The following is a 21,339-nucleotide window of genomic DNA, read 5'->3' on the forward strand; positions in this document are numbered from 1 at the left end:
GTTTGAGAGATGCCCATCTATCAGGCTGGGAGGGTTCACAGGGCTAGAGGCAGATCGTTCAAAAATAAGTGCTTCCCCGAAAATGGAGTGTGAACTTCTTACGGAGCTTCCCTGTCTTTTTTTTTTTTTTTTTGAGATAGAGTCTCACTGTGTCACCCAGGCTGGAGTGCAGTGGCCCAATCTTGGCTCACTGCAACCTCTGCCTCCCAGGTTCAAACGATTCTCATGCCTCAGCCTCCTGAGTAGCTGGGACTACAGGCATGCGCGCCACGTCTGGCTAATTTTTGTATTTTTAGTAGAGACAGGTTTTTACCATATTGACCAGGCTGGTCTCAAACTCCTGGGCTCAATGGATCTTCCCACCCCAGCCTCCCAAAGCACTGGATGACAGGTGTGTGCCGTGCCCAGCTAATTTTCTGTAGAGACGAGGTCTTGCTGTGTTGCCCGGGCTGATCTGAATTTCCTGGCCTCAAGTGATCACCCTGCCTCAGCCTCCCAAAGTGCTGGGATTACAGGCATGAACCACTGCACCCAGCCACATAGCCTAAGAAAATCATTTCAGGATAAATAATTCTCTTAAGATCACTTCAGAGGTCTTGTGGCCCCTTGCTTGATTTAGAAGACATCTATGGAAAGTAGATGAAACCAATAAACTATTCCAACCTGAAAAAACGCTCCAACATGAAAACCTAACCATGTGTGAAATACCAGCTCCTATTAGCCGCTGAAAGGGACTGCAGTGAGCAGCGGGCACCTTGCCATTCCCAGAGTCCCCACTGTGCTGACAGGTGCCATGCCCTGTCAGCTCCCTGGGGCGCCAGTGAGTTTCTCCCAGACTGGGGTGAGTGGGAGCACGGACGGCTCTTTGAGAGAACGTGGCTGCACAGCAGTGAAGGGAGTCACGTTCCCTGCTGCCGTGGCAGCTCTCTCCTCGGCGCCTCCCTCTCGCCCGCCGTTGCCCCGGGCACTCACACCCACTTTTCTCTCCCTGCTTCCTTCCCTGACAGGCGGCTGTGGTGCTTCAGGCAGCTTTCAGGGGACATCTCACGCGGACAAAGCTCTTAGCAAGCAAAGCACATGGCTCAGAGCCACCCAGCGTGCCAGGCCTCCCAGACCAGGTAATGTCGGGGTGCTGGACGTCCCAGTGGCCATCTGCAGAGCTGCTCGTCTCGCACTCCATCCATCGAGAAAGCGTAGGGCACCCCTCAGCCTCCACATCCCCGCCCGCCCAGCAGGCGTCCCCTGCGCTCCATCCCTGGCCACGCAGGCCATGCAGGCTTCTCTGCGCAGGCCCCTCTGCACAGGCCCCGGATGGATGTGGCGTTAGGGCCAGATTGCGTTAAGCTGCCGGAGAGTCAAGTAGCTCCATGAAGATGTAGCTAAAAACTACTAAAGACAGATGCAGGCCATTGCGGCCCCTCCTCTGTATTGAGGACCAGGTTTTTGTTTAAGAATCCCTATAGTAGGCCGGGCGCGGTGGCTCACACCTGTAATCCCAGCACTTTTGGAGGCCGAGGCAGGTGGATCACAAGGTCAGGAGATCGAGACCATCCTGGCTAACATGGTGAAACTCTGTCTCTACTAAAAACACAAAAAATTAGCCGGGCGTGGTGGCGGGCGCCCGCAGTCCCAGCTACTCAGGAGGCTGAGGCAGGAGAATGGGGTGAACCCGGAAGGCGGAGCTTACAGTGAGTCGAGATCACGCCACTGCACTCCAGCCTGGGCAACAGAGCGAGACTCCATCTCAAAAATAAATAAATAAGTAAATAAATAAATAAATAAATAAATAAATAGATAAATAAGAATCCCTACAGTTTAAAAATTCAGAACCTGCCACCAGGAGGCTGTTCACTGACCAGCAATTCCCGGGAGGCAGGGCCATCTGAAAAGGAAACTGAGCTCTTCCTGTCTCCCTGACGCCCAGGGTGCCCTGGGGGTTGAGTGCTGGGAGCCAGCAGGGGGCTGCCAAACAGTCGTCTTCCCTGCTGTCCTTGCACCCCAGAGCTCTCCTGTGCCCCGCGTTCCGAGCCCCATCGCCCAGGCCACGGGCAGCCCTGTGCAGGAGGAGGCCATCGTCATCATCCAGTCCGCTCTGCGGGCACACCTGGCCCGGGCCAGGCACAGGTGAGTCAGGGTCACGGGGACGTGGGACACAGACATGGCACGAGAGGCTGCCCACCGCACTGGGCCCGGAGCACTGGGTGCAGGGCATGTGGCGGAAACTGGAGCAGCGCCTGCCGCCTGCCAGCGGGACCTCGGTTTGGAGCCAGAGTAAAGGCTTCACATCCTGAGGACTCCCTGCTGCACCACGGACGTGGAGTGGGCTGGAAGGTGTGATCCTCGGGGGAGGCCTTTCCAGAGTCGCTTCTTCCCTACCGGGAGGAGATGAGAAGAGGAGCTTCACACACCGTGTAGCTCAGGTCACCATCAGTCTGTGGCCTGGCTTTTGGCTGTGCTGATAGGTCATCCCTGTGAAAGAAAACTGTGTTGTGACCTCCGTGTTGGACACGGCATATGACAGGCGACGCGTGCAGGGTCTAGATGGCAGCGTTCCCACAGGCCTCTTGGTGGGTTTGCTAGGACTCTCGGTTGCAGAAATCAAAACCCCTTGAAGTGAGCCTGGCCGGGGGGAGTTTACAGTAAGGGGAAGAGACGGCCCCGCTCCGTCACCCCCGTCTGCTTCACCCCGCATGGGGTTTGTTCCCCTCTTATCACAGACTGCTCTGGTTCTCAGCCTCTGTGGTGGAGCCGCGCGGCCACCCAGCACTTCCGAGTGGGCAGTTTCTCCCTCCAAGGCCGCATCTGCATCTCATGGTCCTGACCCCATGTGACCTGGGACACACTGTGGGCTCAGGAGTCAGGGACCCATCCCTGGGCGGCGAGCCCCAGCCAGGAGGTGGAGGGCCATGCAGCCTGCAAGCATGTCCCCGGGGAATGGCAGCTGGGCTGACCCAGACAGGAGACAGGGAACGGAGCCGTCTGAGGCCAGCTTATAAAACCATGCCGGCCTGACCTCAGCATGGTCCCCGAGGAGATGGACGGGGACGTGTCTGAGGCTCTTCACCGCCGGACGTTTCTGGACCCTGGGTGCATATTGGGTACAGCGCTGGTCGTGGGGCTCGGGACTGGCTCTGTGTTTGCTTTCATTGGAATACTTGCCTCCAAGCAAATTACTGAGGCTGCTGTAAACCTCAGAGAGGTTTGTACTCTCTAAAAGCAGAATCAGCTGGCGTTTTCTGTTTTTTTCCAGTGCTACCGGTAAAAGAACCACCACCGCAGCTTCTACCAGGAGGAGATCGGCTTCAGCCACACACGGGGACGCCTCCTCCCCACCCTTCCTCGCAGCTCTTCCTGGTAATTTCATTCATTTGGATTCTGGCACCAGGGCAGCTGGTCTGCTGAGGTCTCAGCCAAAGAGTGGCCACCTCCAGGAAGCCCGGGCTGTGTCGGGACGGAAGGGAGGAGTGTCCCATCTGGAGCTGCCTCTGAACTAAGCGTCGCCTTATGCCAGGAAGGCCCACAACAGGGCCCCGCCTTGGCCCAGCTTGTCCTTTGTGCCTGGAATTGCCGAGGTCCTTGCTGTCTTTATTTTTTGCTCTCAGCTCCAACAGGACCGAGGTGGCTTCCTCCTTCAGGCCAGCATTTCTCCTGTTTGTTTGTTGAGTAAAACCGTGTTATTGTTTCCTTTTCTACTTTGTTAAAGTCCAAAAACAGTCAGTGAAGAAGCCGCTGGCACTGCAGGATGCCACACCCTGGTGTGAGGCCTCATCCCTGCTCTGCCCGGAGCTGACGGGGATGCCCCAGCAGGCCCTGCCTTTCTCTGGCCGTCAGTCCCTTCATGTTTAAAGTAGAGAACGGGCTAGACAGCTGGAAAGCCACTCTCCACCCCAAATCTATGCTGCTCTGCGTGGACTTGAGATCCCGTGTCTTATCCTGCAATTAGAAACCCCCCATTGACACCTCCTGTAAAGGGAAGATGAGTGCGGAGGCACGCTGTTGAGACTCGGGACTGTCGGGAGATGGAGAAGGGCAGCCTTAAGACCCTGTTGAGGAGGGGAGTGTGGCGTGCGGGGCTGTTTCACGTGGGAAGTGTCAGGCGAAGGGCTTTGCTGTGCTGAGTCCTTAGGTCTCCAGGGTGGAGTCAGGGAAGGAGGAGAGAGAACAGCAAGGAAAACCACAAAGGAAGAGGCTCTTCTGAGCCCAAAGGGTGAGGGTGAGGAAGGCCAGGGGGTGAAGGAAGGGTGAGGCCTGCCCAGGACCCACATGCCTTAATTTGAATGTCCCTTCAGGACGGGCCCAGGGAGCCGGCAGCCCCCCAGTACCACTCCAGTAAGTGTGGGGGCCCGTGGCGGGCGGAGGCCTCGCTTTCCTGGGAGATCCCTCCTGTGCTGACGCGGAGTCACGGAGTTGGGAAGAGGCCGTTTTGAGGCCCGCATCAGACCTGGAGCCCGAGAGCCTTCCCTCCCCAGGGGGTCCCGCTAGGGGCTGTGTTTTAGAGAGTCTCCTGCACGAGCTAAGAACCGTATACCACGTTTGACCTGGAAATACCACGTATGAAATCACATTTTATTTTCATTTTTTAACCTAGTTTCGTCAGAGCTAGAAAACTTTGAACTTTGATATTCTCTCCAAAACTTCCATTTGTAAAGCTCAACACAAAGATGAGCAGCCTGGGGTTTCGGGGAGAATGTACAGACACGCAAAGCGGTCGGGCCGGCCTGTGACTCGTGGGCTCTGCAAAAGGCTTTCAGTTGTTCTCCGGGAGCCGATTCTACCGGCTTCGCCAGACCCTGCCTTTGGTGACCTTTAGAGGCTTTGATCAGGGCTAAAGCGTGCGTTGATGCTGCCCTTTTCTCTTGCTCAACGCAAGTGATTTTAAAGACGCAAGTTCATCCCCGTGACCCAGGGATTCAGCTTTATTGACCTAAGGAAATGTCTCTGTGAAAAGTATAAATCAAGCTTTTGTTTGAGCTGATTGGTTGTTTTTGAAGATAACCATGAAAGCTGTTTTTAATTTCATAAGGTTCCCCTTTAATATGAATTTTCTTGAAAGTTGCAGGAAAAAAAAGCTGACACAGTTACAGTATCTGCGGCATGGCCGAATTGCCATTTCCTTCCCTTTTTAAAATCTCACATGAGCAGTTCATTACTTTTTTACTTTCGTCTTTCAAGGCAGCGACACTCAGGCTCCCCGGCAAGGAGCTCTGGGGCTGCTGCTGTGGTAGGACCCGTCCCTTCTTCAGCTCTGGTACCCACCTCCATCCCGTCTGTAGGTGGCGTCCCATTCTAGAATGGATTAAAAGTTTGGAACGCTCTAGATGCTTAGGAAGGAGCATCCAAGGGGGAATGGCCGAGCAGCTTGCAAGCTCACAGCGATCCGTGCCTTGCCCCCTCCTGCCCTCTATACCAGTGGCCAGCGAGTTAACAGGGAAGTTGGCTTTTTTTTTTTTTTTTTTGAAGTGCAGTCTAGCTGTGTTGCCCAGGCTGGTCTGGAACTCCTGGGTTCAAGCCACCCTCCCACCTCGGCCTCCAGAGTCCTGGGGTTACAGGCATGAGCCACTGCACCCAGCAGAAACGCTCCTACACACGGGTAGCCACCCACCCAGGCCCCAGACTCCTGGACTGCTGCTGTGGGAATGGCTTTCAGGGAATGACTCCAGTGTGGACTCGAGGTTCCTCCATGCTGGCAAATGTCTGCTTTTGCAGGTGTTTTGACTGGGGGAAATGGTGAGAATACTCAGAGCTGAGTTTGAAGGTGAGGAGAGTGAGGCTTTCTGGCAGGTGTGTAAGTTGGTCCTGAGGCTGGAGAGTGAGGCTTTCTAGCAGGTGTGTAAGTTGGTCCTGAGGCTGGAGAGTGAGGCTTTCTGGCAGGTGTGTAAGTTGGTCCTGAGGCTGGAGAGTGAGGCTTTCTGGCAGGTGTGTAAGTTGGTCCTGAGGCTGGAGAGTGAGGCTTTCTGGCAGGTGTGTGAGTTGGTCCTGAGGGCGGAGAGTGAGGCTTTCTGGCAGGTGTGTGAGTTGCTCCTGAGGGCCTGTGTGCCCCATGGCTTACTGCTTCTCGGGGTGGCTGCCGTCTTGCCTGCCGGGGAAGAGCAGACAGTGTAAGGGTGTCCGTGGTGGCAGCCCCTGAGGTCAGCGTGGCTGACCCCTCTCCCTGTGGTTCATTTCTGCAGACCCCTCTCCCTCAGGGCCACAGGCCTTGGCACCTCTACCTGGGGATGACGTCAACTCCGATGATTCCGACGATATTGTCATTGCACCGTCTCTGCCCACGAAGAACTTTCCAGTTTAGGTCCCCGTCACTGTCTCCACGCCGTGATGGCAGCGCTGCCGAGGACATAGGAACCACGACTGGAAAGATAATTTATCGTGTTAGGAGAAGAACGATGATACCTACTTAACACCTCAGCATCTGCGTCGTGTCTCTTTGTGCTTTTGTTTGTGGAAGGAGACCCAAATGCCTTTACTTTATTCTCTGGGGAGGGCCAGCGGCTCGCATCCCCCTCATCTCCAGCTGCAGCTCGGATGGTGGATTTTCAGTGCCAACAGACACATCTGCCGTGAACTCGCAGATGCCAGGGAGCCCTGTAGTGACACGTTCTCTGACAGCACCTTGCCGCCTGCCCACGACCTTGACCGTGAGGAGCTGCTATCCGCAACCAGCGCCGACACCATGCCCCCTCTTCCTGGTGACACCCTCAACAACCAGGATTTGCTCGATCTCAGCCCAGCAGGCCAGGCAGACACACCCCGCTGTGCCTTAGGAAGGTGTGAGACCGGCTTCCCCCATCCCCACAGCAAAACACGGCCTGTCCCAAGCCAGTGAGGAGCTAAAGACACCCAGGTCCCCAAATGATCTTACTCCATGCCCCACCCGCTCACACCGTCCTTTCCCGTCACCCTTGCTATCCCCTGGAGCACTGCCCTCCAGAGCTGCCCTTCCCAGGAAGGAATTTGGTTGGATTCTGTCACTGTGGAGACCAAGATTTTTTAAAATTCCCAATTACAAAAGCAGCATCACACTTGCTTCTGAGAACAGCAGGGTGATGTCTGTTCCCAAGCTGGTGGCGGGAGCCTTAGCCTGTGTGGGGCCACCCGGGGAAGAGGAGGAGAGGAGGGTGAGGAGGCAGGCTCGCCGTTCCAAGGGACAGCATAGGCTCGTGGTGGGGCGTGTTGCATCTGGTGTCTGGGACAGTCCCCGTCACCCCATGTGTGCGGCCTCTGCACTCCCAAGCTCCATGGCTGGGCTGGGCTGGGCTGGGCTGGGCTGGGCCGGGCGTGCGGAGCCTGTGGAGCCAGCAGCTGCAGAGGCCTAGGAGGGAGTTCCTGGGGGAAGCGCACAGTGTCCAGTGCCCATCTCTTGCTTGTGTGTGAGATTAGCCCTTGCTGGGGCGTCAAGAGGAAGAGCCTTAGACCTGGGCGGGCCTTCAGGGGCATCTAGACCCCTGCACAGCCCAGGCCTGGTGTCTGCATTTCCACAGCACCCCTGTGGGGACTCCTGCCGGGGCTGGCCGCTGTCTCAGGAGAGACCCAATGGTTAGAAAGCCCCTTTTTACACAGCTGACAGCTTCTCCCAAGGCTTCCGTCCACGGGGACAGGCTTAACCCCTGGGCGCCTTTTCTGCAGCATGGCGGCCTTCTGAGTCACCTAAGCTGAGCCTGGGTCATTCTCTGTGGCGGTCAGAAGGCCGATGGCCCCAACACAGTGGCTTGTGAAAGGGAGAGAGGAGGCTCTGCATGTCCACCTGCTCTATGGGAGGAGGACACAGGTGTCCCCAGCCCAGCCTGTTCTCTCCCAGTCACTCAGGGATGGGGCCACCCAAAGTGCAGGACCCGCCCCACCCTGCGGTTCGAAGCCTGGCCCCTGTCTCCACTTAGCTTCTGTTTCTGCAGTGGGTGGAAGCGAGTCAGCGGGGGGCCTGGCTTGTGTACGTGTTTTCCTTATTTGGTCTGTGGGTTGCCAAGTCCATTTTTTTTTCCACTGAACTGGCTGGTAACTTGATGGACTGTGTAACTGACACAGGCCCTCTTTAGACCCCTGCCTTCACCCCACCCGCCCGGGTCCACTCCCTGGGGCGCTGTCCCAAGCCATCCCTGCTTGCCAGCTCAAAGCTTCAGGTCCTAGGAGCCAGTCCACCTCGAAAGCCCTGAGAAAGTGAGACACCTGCACATTCGCTGGGGGAGACCCTCCGTTCTCTTGTGGCAGCTGCTCCCACTTGTTAAACCAAGCTGTTTCTGCGGGACGTGCTCACTCTTGGGAACCAGTGGCCTAGAGCTTTGGGTTACAGGCATGGAGAGGGCTTTCCTGCCTCAGGCTTGGAGGCCAATGTTCCATACATAAACCGCCATGTCCTCTGGTGCAGCTGGGCTGCTCTTTTAAAAGCCAGCATCCATCTTGAAGCTCGCTGGGTAAATGGCAATGCATTCTCAAGCCAGTGTCTTCAGCTGATGCCCAGTGTCCAGTGCTGGTCACCAGTCCCCTTTGCTGGGTACAGCCTGCCTGGCTGTTCTGTGGTCCTGGAACGCTGCAGTGTGGTTTTGTTCCATGGAGACAGTACCAAGCGGAGAGGCCTCCTTGCCCACGGCCCCAGGGCCTGGGGGCCAGGGGTTCTGGCCCTGCGGGGACTTAGGCAGGAGGGGAAGAGAAGCCCATGGAGCCATGGGAGGGGTGAGCTGTGGGCGGGGCCTAGTCATGGGAGGGGTGAGCTGTGGGCGGGGCGAGCTGTGGGTGGGGCCTAGCCATGGGAGAGGTGAGCTGTGAATGGGGCTAGCTATGGGTGGGGTGAGCTGTGGACAGGGCCTAGCCATGGGAAAGGTGAGCTGTGGGCGGGGCCTAGTCACGGGAGAGGTGAGCTGTGGGCGGGGCCTAGTCATGGGAGGGGTGAGCTGTGGATGGGGCCTAGCCATGGGAGGGGTGAGCTGTGAGTGGGGCTGAGCCATGGGAGCAGCAAGCTGGTGGAGTGGGCTGGGCGGAGCTGTGGGGGCTGCTGGCAGGGCCTAGGAAAGTAGACAACTCCCGGGGGAGACGAAGTAGAGAGTGAGTCCCCAAGAAAGGGACTCCTGCCCCAGCGTCAAGTGCCAAAGCAGGCCCCATCTACCACTTCAGGGTCGACGTTGGTGGCAGGTGTTGTTCACGGTGTACTGATTGTCACTGCAACACCTCCACATCACCTTGAACTTCAAGAACAGCAGCAAAGCTGTATCTGCTATCAGAGGCTGTTAGGTAGTCCAGCTTTAAAATAACACACTCTTTCTCTATCCCATGCCCTTTAAACAAGCAGCCACAGGAGATGTCAGTCTCCAGGGCCTGGCCCCACTGTGTTGACAGCAGTCACGTCTGTTGAGCTGACACTGCTGAGGCTGAAGCTGGCCCCGTGCAGGTGGCTGGTGAGCCACAGGTGCAGTACCCGGAGGTGTGCTCTCCCCTAGAGGCCTGTCCCCAACTCCTCCCCTAGAGGCCTATTCCCGCTGCTCACAGACCTCAGCAGAGGCACCAGCTGGAGGGCTCCAGGGACATCCTTGGAGATACAGGAGGCTTTCCTGGCACAGGGCACAGCTCTTAGGAGGCCTTTGTAGGACGCTGTCTCCCCAGCGTGTCCTGCTCATCCAGGATGGGGAGAAAGAGGAGGAGGCCCCAGGCTCAGAAGCCAGGGACAGACTGCCGACGATTACCAAACTGAATCCAGGCAGTGCCATGACCCTGGGTGTCCCTTGGTTCACATCACCCACCAGACAGCTGCGGAGAGAGTGCAGGGAGGGGCTGGGACCAAACAGGCCAGAAACCAGCAGAAAAGAGGCAGAAGTGAGGTGGGTGTGCCTGGGGCACGAAGCCAGCGCCGGGGGGATTTCAGTGGAGCCTTACAGCCAGGCTCCGTGCGGACTGTGATGCCAGAGAGGCGTGCAGCCTCTGGGCAAGTCGGGAGAGGGCTTGGGTGGTCCCCACAAGGCAGAAGAGGTGGAAGGGCCAGAGAAGACCACCAAGACCACCGTTCCCGCAGGCCTGGGGTGAGTGACCTGACTGAGACTAGCGGGCAGAGCCAAGCAGGGCTAAACTCCAACCCAGGGCCCGGTGTTGGACAAAGTAGCTTTTTCTTTGCTCGTTTGTCTGTGTATTAAGAAGAGACTAAAATAGCCAAACGACGCTGGTCGCATGCGCTGGCTGTGGTCTGTCTGCTGAATGTCTATTTTTGTCTCCTGACGAGACGTGAGGACCATGCCCTTGATCCCTCCGATGGACCAGAAACCCCCTTCCTTGCAAAAAAAAGGCAATTGAATTAGGAAAAGATAGCCCAACCTAGCTCAGATCCACCAAGATAAGCACAGCAAAGCTTGGCTGCATTTTTGAGGAATAAAAACCTGCAGAAAGCACCGATAACCTTCAAGATCTGAATGAGATTCTATTATAACCCGTCTAAACGATTGCAAAATTCCTCCTTTGGTTTTGGAAGCAGCGTTTGCTCTCCCGTGGCTCGGATTCTCTGAGGACCAGGGAGTTGACACACAAACCCCGCCATGGGTCCGAGCCAGCTATTTCTCAAGGCTCCCACCTCGCCAAGCTCCCAAGGGCCTGCTGGCAGTGCCTACGCTGTGCCAACTACCCTGTCTGGTACAGACCACGGCTGGGTAAGCACCCTTAAAAGCAACAGAAATGACGTCTGGAAGCTGAAATGTGAAACTGTCAAGATGGCTTAGGAGAGGAAGGAGTGGACCCGCTGGTCTTTGGCATTTTGTATTTAGAATTATTCTAACTTTATACATAATGTATAGGCCGATCTTTTGGAAGGGATAAGGTTTTCATTCTTGTGCAACTCATTATTCTCATTATTGGCCTTTTAAATAAAAAGTTGTTTTGCAGTGTGCCTTGAGTGCCCCGTGAAGACTTCTCTTTAATGACCTCCAGGTGTGTTCCTGCCCCACGCACTCGGGCTGAACAAACGATCCGCTTCAGAAACCCCGCTTCTCTGGGCTTCTGGCATTTTGCCGTGGTCGTAATGCAGGCTTGGGGTTGGAGAGCCAGCTGGAGGGACGGGTCCCGCCGCCAGCTCCCTGCCACGCATGAACTCGGATACATCTGTTGACACCCCGGTCCCCCGTCGAATATCTATTCCTTAGATATGAGGACACAAAAATGTGCGTGCGTGAGGGAGTTATTTCTCCATATTTGATTTCATTTTTGTTTCAGGAGCAGGGAAAGAATAATTTACTGAGGAATCAAACACAGATGGAAACGACCAAAAGGAGCTGATATCTGGGTTTTGTTTTCCAATATTTTGTTGCATAGAACAAGGAGCATCTGTGGCTTTGTGTGCTTGTGGCTGCCTGCCCTGGGGCCCTAAATCCTGAGTGGAGTTTGTCCGAAGCCTCCACAGTTACTGTGGTTGGCTCTGGCATTTGCCCAAGCCTATTTTCTCTCTATCGATCTTATATGTGTGTGTGTGTGTGTGTGTGTGTGTGTGTGAAAATATATGTATATTTTTAAATTGAGATAGGGTCTTGCTGTCTTGCCCTGGCCGGAGTGCAGTGGTGCAGTCATAGCTCACTGCAGCCTCAAACTCTTGGGCTTAAGCAATCCTCTTGCCTCAGCCTCCCAGATAGCTGGGACTATAGGTGTGCACCACTGTGCCCAACCACTTTTTAAAAAATTTCTGTCACGCCTGTAATCCCAGCACTTTGGGAGGCCAAGGCAGGCGGATCACGAGGTCAGGAGTTCAAGACCAGCCTGGCCAATATGGTGACACCCCATCTCTACTAAAAATACAAAAATTAGCCGGGCATGGTGGCGTGCGTCTGTAGTCCCAGCTACTCGGGAGGCTGAGGCAGAATTGCTTGAACCTGGGAGGTGGAGGTTGTAGTGAGCCGAGATGGCGCCATTACACTCCAGCCTGGGCGACAGAGCGAGACTCTGTCTCAAAAAAATAAAAATAAAAATTCTGTAGAGATGAGGACTTGCTAAGTTGCCCAGGCTAGTCGAACTACTAGGCCCAAGTGATCCTCCCACCTCAGCCTCCCAAGTGGCTGAAACTACAGGTACGCACCTGGCTAATATACAAAATTTGAGGGGTGGGGCACAGTGGTTCGTGCCCGTAATCCCAGCACTTTAGGAGGCTGAGGCAGTGAATCACCTGAGGTCAGGAGTTCGAGGCCAGCCTGGCCAACATGGTGAAACCCCGTCTCTACTAAAAATACAAAAAGTAGCCGGGCGTGATGGCACATGCCAGTAATCCCAGCTACTCAGGAGGCTGAGGCAGGAGAATCACTTGAACCCGGGAGGTGGAGGTTGCAGCGAGCCATTGCACTCCAGCCTGGGCAAGAAGAGCAAAACTCCGTCTAAATAAATAAATAAAATTTTATTTTGGTGGAGGTTGCAGTGAGCCATTGCACTCCAGCCTGGGCAAGAAGAGCAAAACTCCATCTCAATAAATAAATAAATAAATAAATAAAATATATTTTTCTGGTAGAGATGGGGCCTTGCTATGTTGCCCAGGCTGGTGTCCAATGCCTCGCCTCAAGCGATCCTCCCACCTTGGCCTCCCAAAGTGTTGGAATTACAGGTGCGAGCCACCGTGGCCTGCCCCGAGCCCATCTTTACACTCCGATGGCCTGTGTGCTGTCCTGGCAAGCGGTTCATTTGCAGACTTGCACTTTGCAGACGAGCTGGTAGGGCCTGAGGGAGCCTGTGGCATTGGAGAGCATGGTGCACCAGGCACTCGCCCGCTGCAAGCTCGCTGCCCCCGCAGTCGCCAGCTGTGATCTCCCCTAGGGGTTCAGACCCAGGAGCAGAGAGGAGGCAGCCTGTGGGGGCTTCTCAGCTAGAACTGGCGAGAGGAGGAGAGAGAAGGTCCAACCTCAGGCCTCCACCCACCGTGGGCCGGGGTATGGATAGACATGGAAGTATGTGAGCGTGGACATCCATGCGCACGCGCACAGGCACACGGGGAGAACCCTCTTCCTCTTCCCCATCCAGCCCTCTGGTTTTTGGTGCTCCCAGACGTGCGCTGAGTGCATGAGGGCCTCCTCAAAGACCGAGTGAGGGTCACCACAAGCTCTTGCCAAGACAGTTTTAAATATGAGATTCCTCCAAGGTCCCTGGGGGACATAGGAAAAAAAAGAAGTAAGCCTCTGAGTCCCTCGCTCCTTTCAGCACTGCTGTCGGGCTTGGAATATGAATGACGGGCTGCAGAACAGGGTGGCGTGTCTCTGCGTGGGTGCCAGCTAATGGCCTTTGGCCAGCACCTCCCCACTGGATCCCGGGAGCAGGGCCCAGTGTCAGCCCCGAGGGCCAGCCCCATTAGATGGGGCCTGCCTCAGGAACCTGGGGACGTTACCATGGTGCTGTGTCCCTTTCTGAATAAGAGGAGAGGGTGCCCCTGAGCTATTCGTTAATTAAGTCCCAGAGCAGCCTGGGATTCAAAGGACAGAGTCCAGCGCTGCCAGGGCTCCCACGGCTGCCATTCATGGCAGCCCTGTCTGGGGGCTTCCTCCCCACCAGCCCTTCCCTTCCCAGGCCCGGCTCGCAAAGGAATGAAAGCAGGGAAGGGTGTGAGTGGGTGGGCTGGGGCGAAGCTCGCATAAAATATACAAAGGGAGCTGGTTCCCGCTCATTGCAGCCTCGCCCCGCCCCATTCCCTTCTCTCACCCACTTCCCCCTCCAGCACCCTGTGGGCTGCTGGCTCCACTATGCTCACCGCTCCTGCTACCCTCGCCCGAGAGTGCACCCTTCCCGCCTCATCACTCCTCCCTGCTTTCGGGATTTCTCTTCTGCTCTGGCACCCGGTCCTACCCTCTGCCTGTTGAGTATGGGTGTATCCACGGCTCCGTCCCCAACACCCCAGCCTGCCTGGATCGTCCACTGGGCGTCCGCACGTTCTTGTCTCAGATGCCTCCAATTCAGCTTGGCTCGGCTTCAATTTATCTTCCCTCATGACCTGCTCCCTGTTCAGTAAACCACATCACAAGCCACATGGTTGTCCCTGCCAGAAACCTAGAGATCATCCCCGTCTCCCTGCCCGTTCTCACCAGGCCCCACAGGGGCTACCCCCTCAGCAGCCCTCAACTCTGCTGCCACATCTGCAGTGAGGCCAAGTGACCCCACCAGACAGTTCCCACGGGCTCCAAGACAAAATTGAACTCCTGAACATGCCAGACTGCTGCATGTCCACGCACACAAAGACACGTGCACACACAAAACACCACAATGCAACATACATGCAAACACCTGCACATGAGCAGACATATGCCTGCAAACACATGCCCACACATGAAACAATGCAAACTTGAAAACACACACAAAACCAACATGCACACACCAATGCATGCACTCTCAGACACACACACACTTCGCACAGACGTGCACACAAACACGTACAAATACACACAAACCCACATGCAAACATACAAACATGCATGCAAACACACCTGCAAGGGCAGAAACATACACAAATTTGCATCCCACACACGTACACACAGGCACACACACATGACAACATACATACACATAAAACGCGCACACACACACACACAAACATGCACACACACGCGCGCGCACTTGAAGCTCAAGCCAGCCTGAGCTATGTGAGGCTCCACTTTTCCAAAGAGGAGACTGCAAAAAAGAAAACCCATCCAGCCAACTTGAAAGTGTGAGCTTTTTATAGGTGTGGACGAAAGTGTCAGATGCCAACTTGTGAATAATTAATATGTTAATTTGGTCACACATCATGCATATTTCAAGTCATAGCTAAAAGAAGACACTGATCTAGGAGCATGCCTCTGGTGGTGCTCCCAGGACTTGGCTGCACCAGCAGCTTCGTCCCCATGTTTTGGATCCTCTAACACAGTTTCCCGTGCACGACATCTCCACTTCCATCTAAGCTGTTTGCAATCCACGTGACGGCTGAGAAATCTGCTCCTGCCGGGCGCAGCGGCTCACGCCTGTAATCCCAGCACTTTGGGAGGCCGAGGCGGGTAGATGGCTTGAATCCAGGAGTGTGAGACCAGCCTGGATAACATAGTGAAACCCCTTCTCTACAAAAATACAAAAATGAGCTGGGCATGGTGGCATGCACCTGTGGTCCCAGTTCTTTGGGACGCTGAGGTGGGATGATTGCATGAACCGGAGAAAGTGGAGGTCGCAGTGAGTTGAGATCGCGTCATTGTACTCCAGCCAGGGCGACAGAGCAAGACTCTGTCCCAAAAAAAAAAATTCTGAACAGGGTGTGCCATGATTGGAGCATTTCTCCCCAAGCCACGAGTGCCGGTGTGCTGGACCTGAGGACGGTGGTCCAGGTGGTGTCACTTTATGATCGCGTTTCCACAGTGGAACCGCTGGCTGTATTTTTAAACGTTTTAAAGTCTGATTCACAAAGACAGCCAATGCTTGCAAATGTGAGGTTCTGCTCCTGGAAAAATGACTAATCTGAGTTAAATTTATTTCTGACATCTTTTTAGTGGATTCTGCCAGGCGACCTCCATACACATTGCTCCCAGCTTTCAGACTCCTCCGTCGGTTCCCAAACAGTGTGTGGCTGTCAAAATAAACTAATTGAGAGCCTCATGCTATGAGATACTTTCTAAGGACTTAAGAAGGCAGCTCCCTCTTTTGTGAAGGATACTTTAAAAATTTTATGTATTTATTGATTTTACAGACAAGATCTTGCACCCCAGGCTGGAGTGCAGTGGCACAATCACAGCTCACTGCAGCCTTGACCTCTTGGGCTCAAGCAATCCTCTGGCCTCAGCCTCCCAAGTAGCTGGGACTACAGGTGTGTGCTACCATACCTGGCTAATGTTTTCATTCTTTTTCCTTTTCTTTTTGAGACGGAGTCGCGCTCTGTCGCCCAGGCTGGAGTGCAATGGCGCGATCTCGGCTCACTGCCATCTCCGCCTCCGGGCTCAAGCGATTCTCGTGCCTCAGCCATCTGAGTAGTTGAGACTACAGGCCCACACCACCACGCCCAACTAGTTTTTGTATTTTTAGTAGAGACGGGGTTTTGCCATGTTGGCCAGGTTGGTCTAGAACTCCTGGCCTCAAGTGATCCACCCATCTCAGCCTCCCAAAATGCTGGGATTACAGCTGTGAGCCACCGCGCCAGGCCTCATTTTTATTTTTGTAGAGACAGGGTCTTGCTCTGTCACCCAGGCTGGAGTGCAGTGGTGCAATCATAGCTCACTGCAGCCTCGACCTCCTGGGCCCAAGCGATCCTCCCACCGCAGCCTCCTAAAGTGCTAGGATGACAGGTGTGAGCCACCAGGCCATGAAGGATAATTTTTTTGGGGGAAGGGGAATCCCCCACTTCTATTTGAACTGTCCCAGAATGAAACCAGGGCCTTCTTCACCCCTCAGCCTCAGCCTGCAGAACCACCCTCCAATGCCAAGCTCAGCGGCCTCCCAATCTCAGCCCCTGCCTCATCCTCCCACCTCCTAAGCCTGATGCTCCTCCCTTTCTGACCCTGAGGGATGCTCCCACTCCGATCCGATGCCTCCCCTCACATACTCACCTGGCTGTTTCCCATGGGCCATTTCTATTTTACAGTCACATTTTGTTTCTTTTTTTGAGACGGAGTCTCGCTCTGTCGCCCAGGCTGGAGTGCAGTGGCGCGATCTCGGCTCACTGCAAGCTCCGCCTCCTGGGTTCACGCCATTCTCCTGCCTCAGCCTCCCGAGTAGCTGGAACTACAGGCATCTGCCACCACGCCCGGCTAAATTTTTTGTATTTTTAGTAGAGACAGGGTTTCATCGTGTTAGCCAGCATGGTCTTGATCTCCTGACCTCGTGATCTGCCCGCCTCAGCCTCCCAAAGTGCTGGGATTACAGGCGTGAGTCACCACGTCCAGCCAACATTTTGTTTCTTAAAAAAGATATCTGGCCAGGCATGGTGGCTCACGCCTATAATCCCAGCACTTTGGGAGGCCAAGGCGGGTGGATCATGAGATCAGGAGTTCAAGACCAGCCTGGCCAAGATGATGAAACCCCGTCTCTACTAAAAATACAAAAATTAGCTGGGCGTGGTGGCGGGTGTCTGTAATCCCAGCTACTCGGGAGGCTGAGGCCGAGAATCGCTTGAACCTGGGAGGCTGGAGATGCACTGCACTCCAGCCTGGGTGACAGAGCGAGACTCTGTCTCAAAGAAAAAACAAAGATATCTAACACATTATAAAAAGAAAAACAGAAAAGTATAGAGTAGCCTCATCTCCCTCTGGCACCACTGATTCTGGGGTCCTGGGCTTTTGTCTCGCCTCCCCACCGCTACTACGGGACTCTTAGTCCAGAACCAGGGTGAGCCGTTCCTTAGCCCCTTGCTCCACAGACTTGCTCAGGTCCCACGTGGCACCCTGGATCCCATCAGCAGCTCCACGCGGCACCCCACGCCTGCCCTCGTCTGGCCTCCCCTCCAGCCACACACCCCTGACCGCGGGCCTTTGCGGAAAACGCCGGGCCCTCCCCCACCTCCAGCTGGCCTCTCGCCTGTGCTGTTTCTGCTGCCAGGAATGTCCTTCCCGTGGAGCCGGCCTGGGTGATCCTCTGCTGAGAAGCTTTTCACGATCAGCTCCTCCTCCCTGTAATCTCACTGCACCCAGCCCGCGTGTGTGTTTTAGTATTTATTGCACCTGAGGGCACTTTGTACACATTATATTGGGGTTTATTTCGTCTGTTTGCAACTAGACTAAGCTCTGTGAGGACTGGATCTTTGGGGCCAGGAAATAATTTTTTTTTTTTGGCAAGGTCTCACTCTGTTGCCCAGGCTGGAGTGCAGTGGTGCAATCATAGCTCACTACAACCTTGAACCCCTGGGCTCAAGCAATCCTCCCACCTCAGCCTCCCAAGTAACTGGGACTACAGGTGTGTGCTCCCACACCTGGCTAAGTTTTAAGTTTTGTTTTATTTTTTTTTTGCCATGTTGCCCAGGCTGGTCTCAAACTCCTGGCCTCAAGCGATCCTCCCACCTCGACTTCCCAAAGTGCTGGGATGACAGACATGAGCCACTTCACCCATCCTAAATTCATTTACTCACCAAATTTCCACTGGCTTAGGTGTGGAGAACCCAAGTGGGGCAGACCACAGCCAAGGGCTCCCCTCTAGGGTGGTGTGGACCCAGGTGGTTTAGACCCAGTGTTGGGGAGCCGTTCTGGTATCCCAGAAAAGGGAGTCGGGGCTGCAGCTGAGCAGGTGGGGGAGGCGAGTACCTTCCAGGCCCAGGGAACTATCAGCCTCCTTCCAGAGGAAAAGGGAGCAGGGCCCCCACCTCCAGGATGGGAAGGGCCCCAAGGTGGCCAGACACAGTGGGTCAGGTGTGGCAGGGGCGACAGGGCTCAGGAGAGACACAGAGGCCGGGCTGGGGGACCTTGCCCTGAGAGCTGTGGGAACAGGATCGGATTTGCATTTGAGAAGGGGAGGCTGGGAGCGGGAGGGGACGTCATGGGCTGATGAGGAACCACATACGTGCTGACCCCATGGAGGAGAGAGCCCAGGGCCCCCGGAAGGGGACAGCCTGGCTGTTGGCCAAGAGACGCAGAGGGGAAGGAGGCCTGGCCAGGCAGGGGAGGGGGAGCACATTCCACCTACCCCTCCCCCTGGAATGGAGCCACATCCTGGCCAGCTCCTCCTGCCCCAGCTCCTCCTGCCCCAGCAAATCCTGCCCCAGCTGCTCCTGCCCCAGCTCCTCCTGCCCCAGCTGCTCCTGCCCCAGCTGCTCCTGCCCCAGCTGCTCCTGTCCCAGCTCCTCCGGCCTCAGCTCCTCCTGCCCCAGCTCCTCCTGCCCCAGCTCCTCCTCCTCCTCCTCTCAACTCCTACTGCTCCTCCTGCCCCCACCTCCCCCTGCTCCTCCTGCCCCCACCTCCCCCTGCTCCTCCTGCCCCCATCTCCTCCTGCCCCAGCCTTTCTGTGCTCACAGGGACCCTGTGGAGCAGAGAGGGCTTTCTGGGGTCCACGGAGGCTGGGCTGGGTCCCCAGAGCTGGGCCTCCACTCTAGCCCAACTGATTAAGCCCGGCAGGGCCTCCTGCATCCCACGTCCTCCCTGCCAGGCTGCAGGCCCAGCTGGGATGTCTGGGAAGGAAAATGGGGGTCCTGGGCCTGCAGGTAAAAGAATTCAGCCCAGGGTTCCAGCCAGCACCACCCCCCGCAACACACCCCCCACCCCCCATTGCGGGCGACCTGTGGCAAGCCTGAGGTTCACCATCTGTACCCAAGGGTGTGCTGGCCCTGTCTCTGGGTAGCTGTGAGCCAGTGGGCGGGGAGGGCCTATGCCAGCCGGCAGAGCTCTGGAAGAGCAAAACACCATTCATCCCAGACACACATCCTAAGCGTCTATCCCAGGCCCGGCCCTGGCCCTCATAATATTGCCATCACCATCTCACTTCCAGAAGCCTCTGCCTGCTCCTCTCCAGAGCCCTGCGCCCCTGCACTGCCCCCCACCCCCGGGAGCGATGTGGAGGCTTCGCCAGTCCTGGGAGGACTCTGGACTTGGTCCTGAGGCCCTGGGAGGCCAGGGAGGGGCTGGCAGGGGGGCAGCAGGCCAGATTCCTTGACAGAGATGAACTGGGGCGGTGCAGAGAAGTTCAGGACAAAGGGCAGGGCCTTGCTGCCCCGTGCTCCGGGGGACCTTGAGCAAGACACTTCCTTTTCCGAGCCTCCAGAGCTGAGACTGGCAGGAGTGGAGCTGGAGAGCCCTTCCTGAATGGTGGCTGGCACTGGGTGTGCCCGGAGGAGGCGGCCCTGCCAGGGGCAGGATGGTGATGCCTCTGAAGGGCTTCCCCAGGTGGCCCCTGGACATCTTCACGTGACCCAAAAAAGGCCCCACCTCCTGCCTCCAGACCTTTCCCATGAGATGAGCCCCTCCGGGCAAGTAGGCCACCCCTAGAGCGGCCTCTAGAACCTTCCGTGCTTGTCCTAGGCTGGGGGCTGGAAGAGGGGTGGAGGCCACGGAGGGGCTGCCTGTTGCCCACCTCCACGCACAGCACTCCTCCCACGCTGAGCCGGGTCTCCAGGGTGTTGTGTTCTGGACAAAGCCTCCGGGGTGCTGGGGGGGCCTGCATTCCCTCCTGGGCCCCCTGCCTTGGAAATGGCATGTCAAGGGGAGGATCAGCTCTCCAGAGGATCCCCAGACCCAGCAGCCTGCCCGGCCCAGTGAGGGAGACCCCGGGTTCCCTGGGCTCCTGGGCCCACCCTGACCAGAAAACCAGCCAAGGAAGCTGAGCTGGCCTTTCCCCATGCGTGGGGGAGTGAAGTTTGTCAGATCCAGGCTTTGAAACCTAGAGGGTGCAGGACACTCCCTTGCCCAGGCCAGACAGAGACACAGTGGATGTGGGGTGAGGACAGGGTCCCCCAAGGGGACATGGGGCAGAGCACGCAGGTTATGTGGGGCCTGGCCTTGGACACCCCTTTTCCAGCATAATCCCAGTACCCACCCAGGGAGAGAAGCATGACCCTCCTCCTGTTACAGCTGGGGAAACTGAGGCTTAGAGAGTTGCCTGGCCGAAAGGTCTCTGCTCTTGGAGGGGGAGCAGTGTCTCCTTGGCAGCTCAAGCCTGTGACAGCCTGTGGTCCTGTGAGAGCAGCGGGCGGGGCTCCCGAGAGGGAGGTGAGAATCCATCCGGCAACCCCTCCCCACCCACTCTGCCCCAGCGCCTCCCTCCACGCCCGCTGCTGGCCTGTTTCTGAAGGTCGGTGAAAGACGTCTTACTCACCAAGCTCAGGCAGTGGGGTCGGTGGTCCACCTGCCAACAGCGACTCAGCCAGCCTTTGTCACCAATGCCAATTGCAGCCCACAGAGTGGCCAGATACCCTCTCCCACTGCTCCTGGAATTGGGGCACTGGAGGCCGCCAGGAAGAGACGGTAGTCCTGGGTCTTGATGAATATCCTGCTCAGACTCAGCCGGCTCCCGGCACCCCCAGAGCAGGAATTTACTGGCAGACAACGAACATCCCTTGAAAGCATCAGAGCATTAAGAAAGCTTTCCCCATTTTGTTTTTTGTTTGTTTGTTCGTTTCATTTTTGTTTTTATGTTTTTGAGACAAGGTCTTGCTCTGTTGCTCAGGCTGTAGAGTGCAGTGGTGCAATCACCGCTCACTGCAGCCTTGACCTCCTGGGCTCCGGCGATCCTCCTGCCTCAGCCTCTCAAGTAGCTGGGATTACACACATGTGCCACCACACCCAGCTAATTTTTGTATTTTTAGTAGAGATGGGGTTTCGCTATGTTGGCCAGGCTGGTCTCGAACTCCTGACCTCAAGTGATCCACCCATCTCGGCCTCCCAGAGTGCTGGGATTACTGGCGTGAGCCGCCGCGCTCGGCCCTTCCCCCATTTTGGAGTCCCCGGTATCTATTGTTTCCCTCTTTCTGTCCATGCT

The 21,339-nt window shown here is 56.1% G+C and overlaps 1 protein-coding gene and 1 long non-coding RNA gene across 17 annotated transcripts in view, besides 4 other annotated features; one reads left to right on the forward strand and one right to left on the reverse strand.

The window, feature by feature from the left end:
- IQCE (IQ motif containing E) overlaps window positions 1-10,855 on the forward strand; it is a 55,750-nt gene extending 44,895 nt beyond the window's left edge. For 10 of the 15 annotated variants that reach the window (XM_047420081.1, NM_001287499.2, XM_011515242.2 and 7 more), the window contains 3 exons: window positions 1,008-1,118; window positions 2,003-2,124; window positions 3,251-3,682. In XM_047420081.1, coding sequence (XP_047276037.1) covers window positions 1,008-1,118; window positions 2,003-2,124; window positions 3,251-3,494 — 477 coding nt within the window. In that variant the 3' untranslated portion in view covers window positions 3,495-3,682. Of the gene's footprint in view, window positions 1-1,007; window positions 1,119-2,002; window positions 2,125-3,250; window positions 3,683-6,170 lie in introns of those variants that run through there. The other 5 variants (XM_017011902.2, NM_152558.5, NM_001410865.1 and 2 more) reach the window with 1 other exon arrangement.
- Window positions 6,200-6,773: an enhancer, noted in NCBI's record as "H3K4me1 hESC enhancer chr7:2649707-2650280 (GRCh37/hg19 assembly coordinates)". NCBI's record gives its function as "activates a minimal SCP1, AML or CMV promoter by ChIP-STARR-seq in primed H9 embryonic stem cells {active_cell/tissue: H9 hESC(primed)}" and the evidence as "EXISTENCE:reporter gene assay evidence [ECO:0000049][PMID:30033119]".
- Window positions 6,774-7,347: an enhancer, noted in NCBI's record as "H3K4me1 hESC enhancer chr7:2650281-2650854 (GRCh37/hg19 assembly coordinates)". NCBI's record gives its function as "activates a minimal SCP1, AML or CMV promoter by ChIP-STARR-seq in primed H9 embryonic stem cells {active_cell/tissue: H9 hESC(primed)}" and the evidence as "EXISTENCE:reporter gene assay evidence [ECO:0000049][PMID:30033119]".
- LOC107986760 (uncharacterized) lies at window positions 10,710-18,315 on the reverse strand. 2 transcript variants are annotated; one of them, XR_001745069.2, is made up of 3 exons: window positions 18,005-18,315; window positions 13,777-13,928; window positions 10,710-11,103 (listed from the first exon to the last, which is right to left on the reverse strand). It is a non-coding gene; the product is annotated as an uncharacterized LOC107986760 (long non-coding RNA). The 2 variants fall into 2 exon arrangements; XR_001745068.2 differs by lacking the exon at window positions 18,005-18,315 and adding an exon at window positions 17,440-17,522.
- Window positions 18,322-18,616: a silencer, noted in NCBI's record as "tiled region #835; K562 Repressive non-DNase unmatched - State 7:EnhWF". NCBI's record gives its function as "represses a minimal TATA promoter and a strong SV40 promoter by Sharpr-MPRA in K562 cells {active_cell/tissue: K562}" and the evidence as "EXISTENCE:reporter gene assay evidence [ECO:0000049][PMID:27701403]".
- Window positions 19,406-19,915: an enhancer, noted in NCBI's record as "H3K4me1 hESC enhancer chr7:2662913-2663422 (GRCh37/hg19 assembly coordinates)". NCBI's record gives its function as "activates a minimal SCP1, AML or CMV promoter by ChIP-STARR-seq in primed H9 embryonic stem cells {active_cell/tissue: H9 hESC(primed)}" and the evidence as "EXISTENCE:reporter gene assay evidence [ECO:0000049][PMID:30033119]".

Source organism: Homo sapiens, chromosome 7 (genome assembly GCF_000001405.40).
Source record: "Homo sapiens chromosome 7, GRCh38.p14 Primary Assembly".
Taxonomy (NCBI): Eukaryota; Metazoa; Chordata; class Mammalia; order Primates; family Hominidae; genus Homo; species Homo sapiens.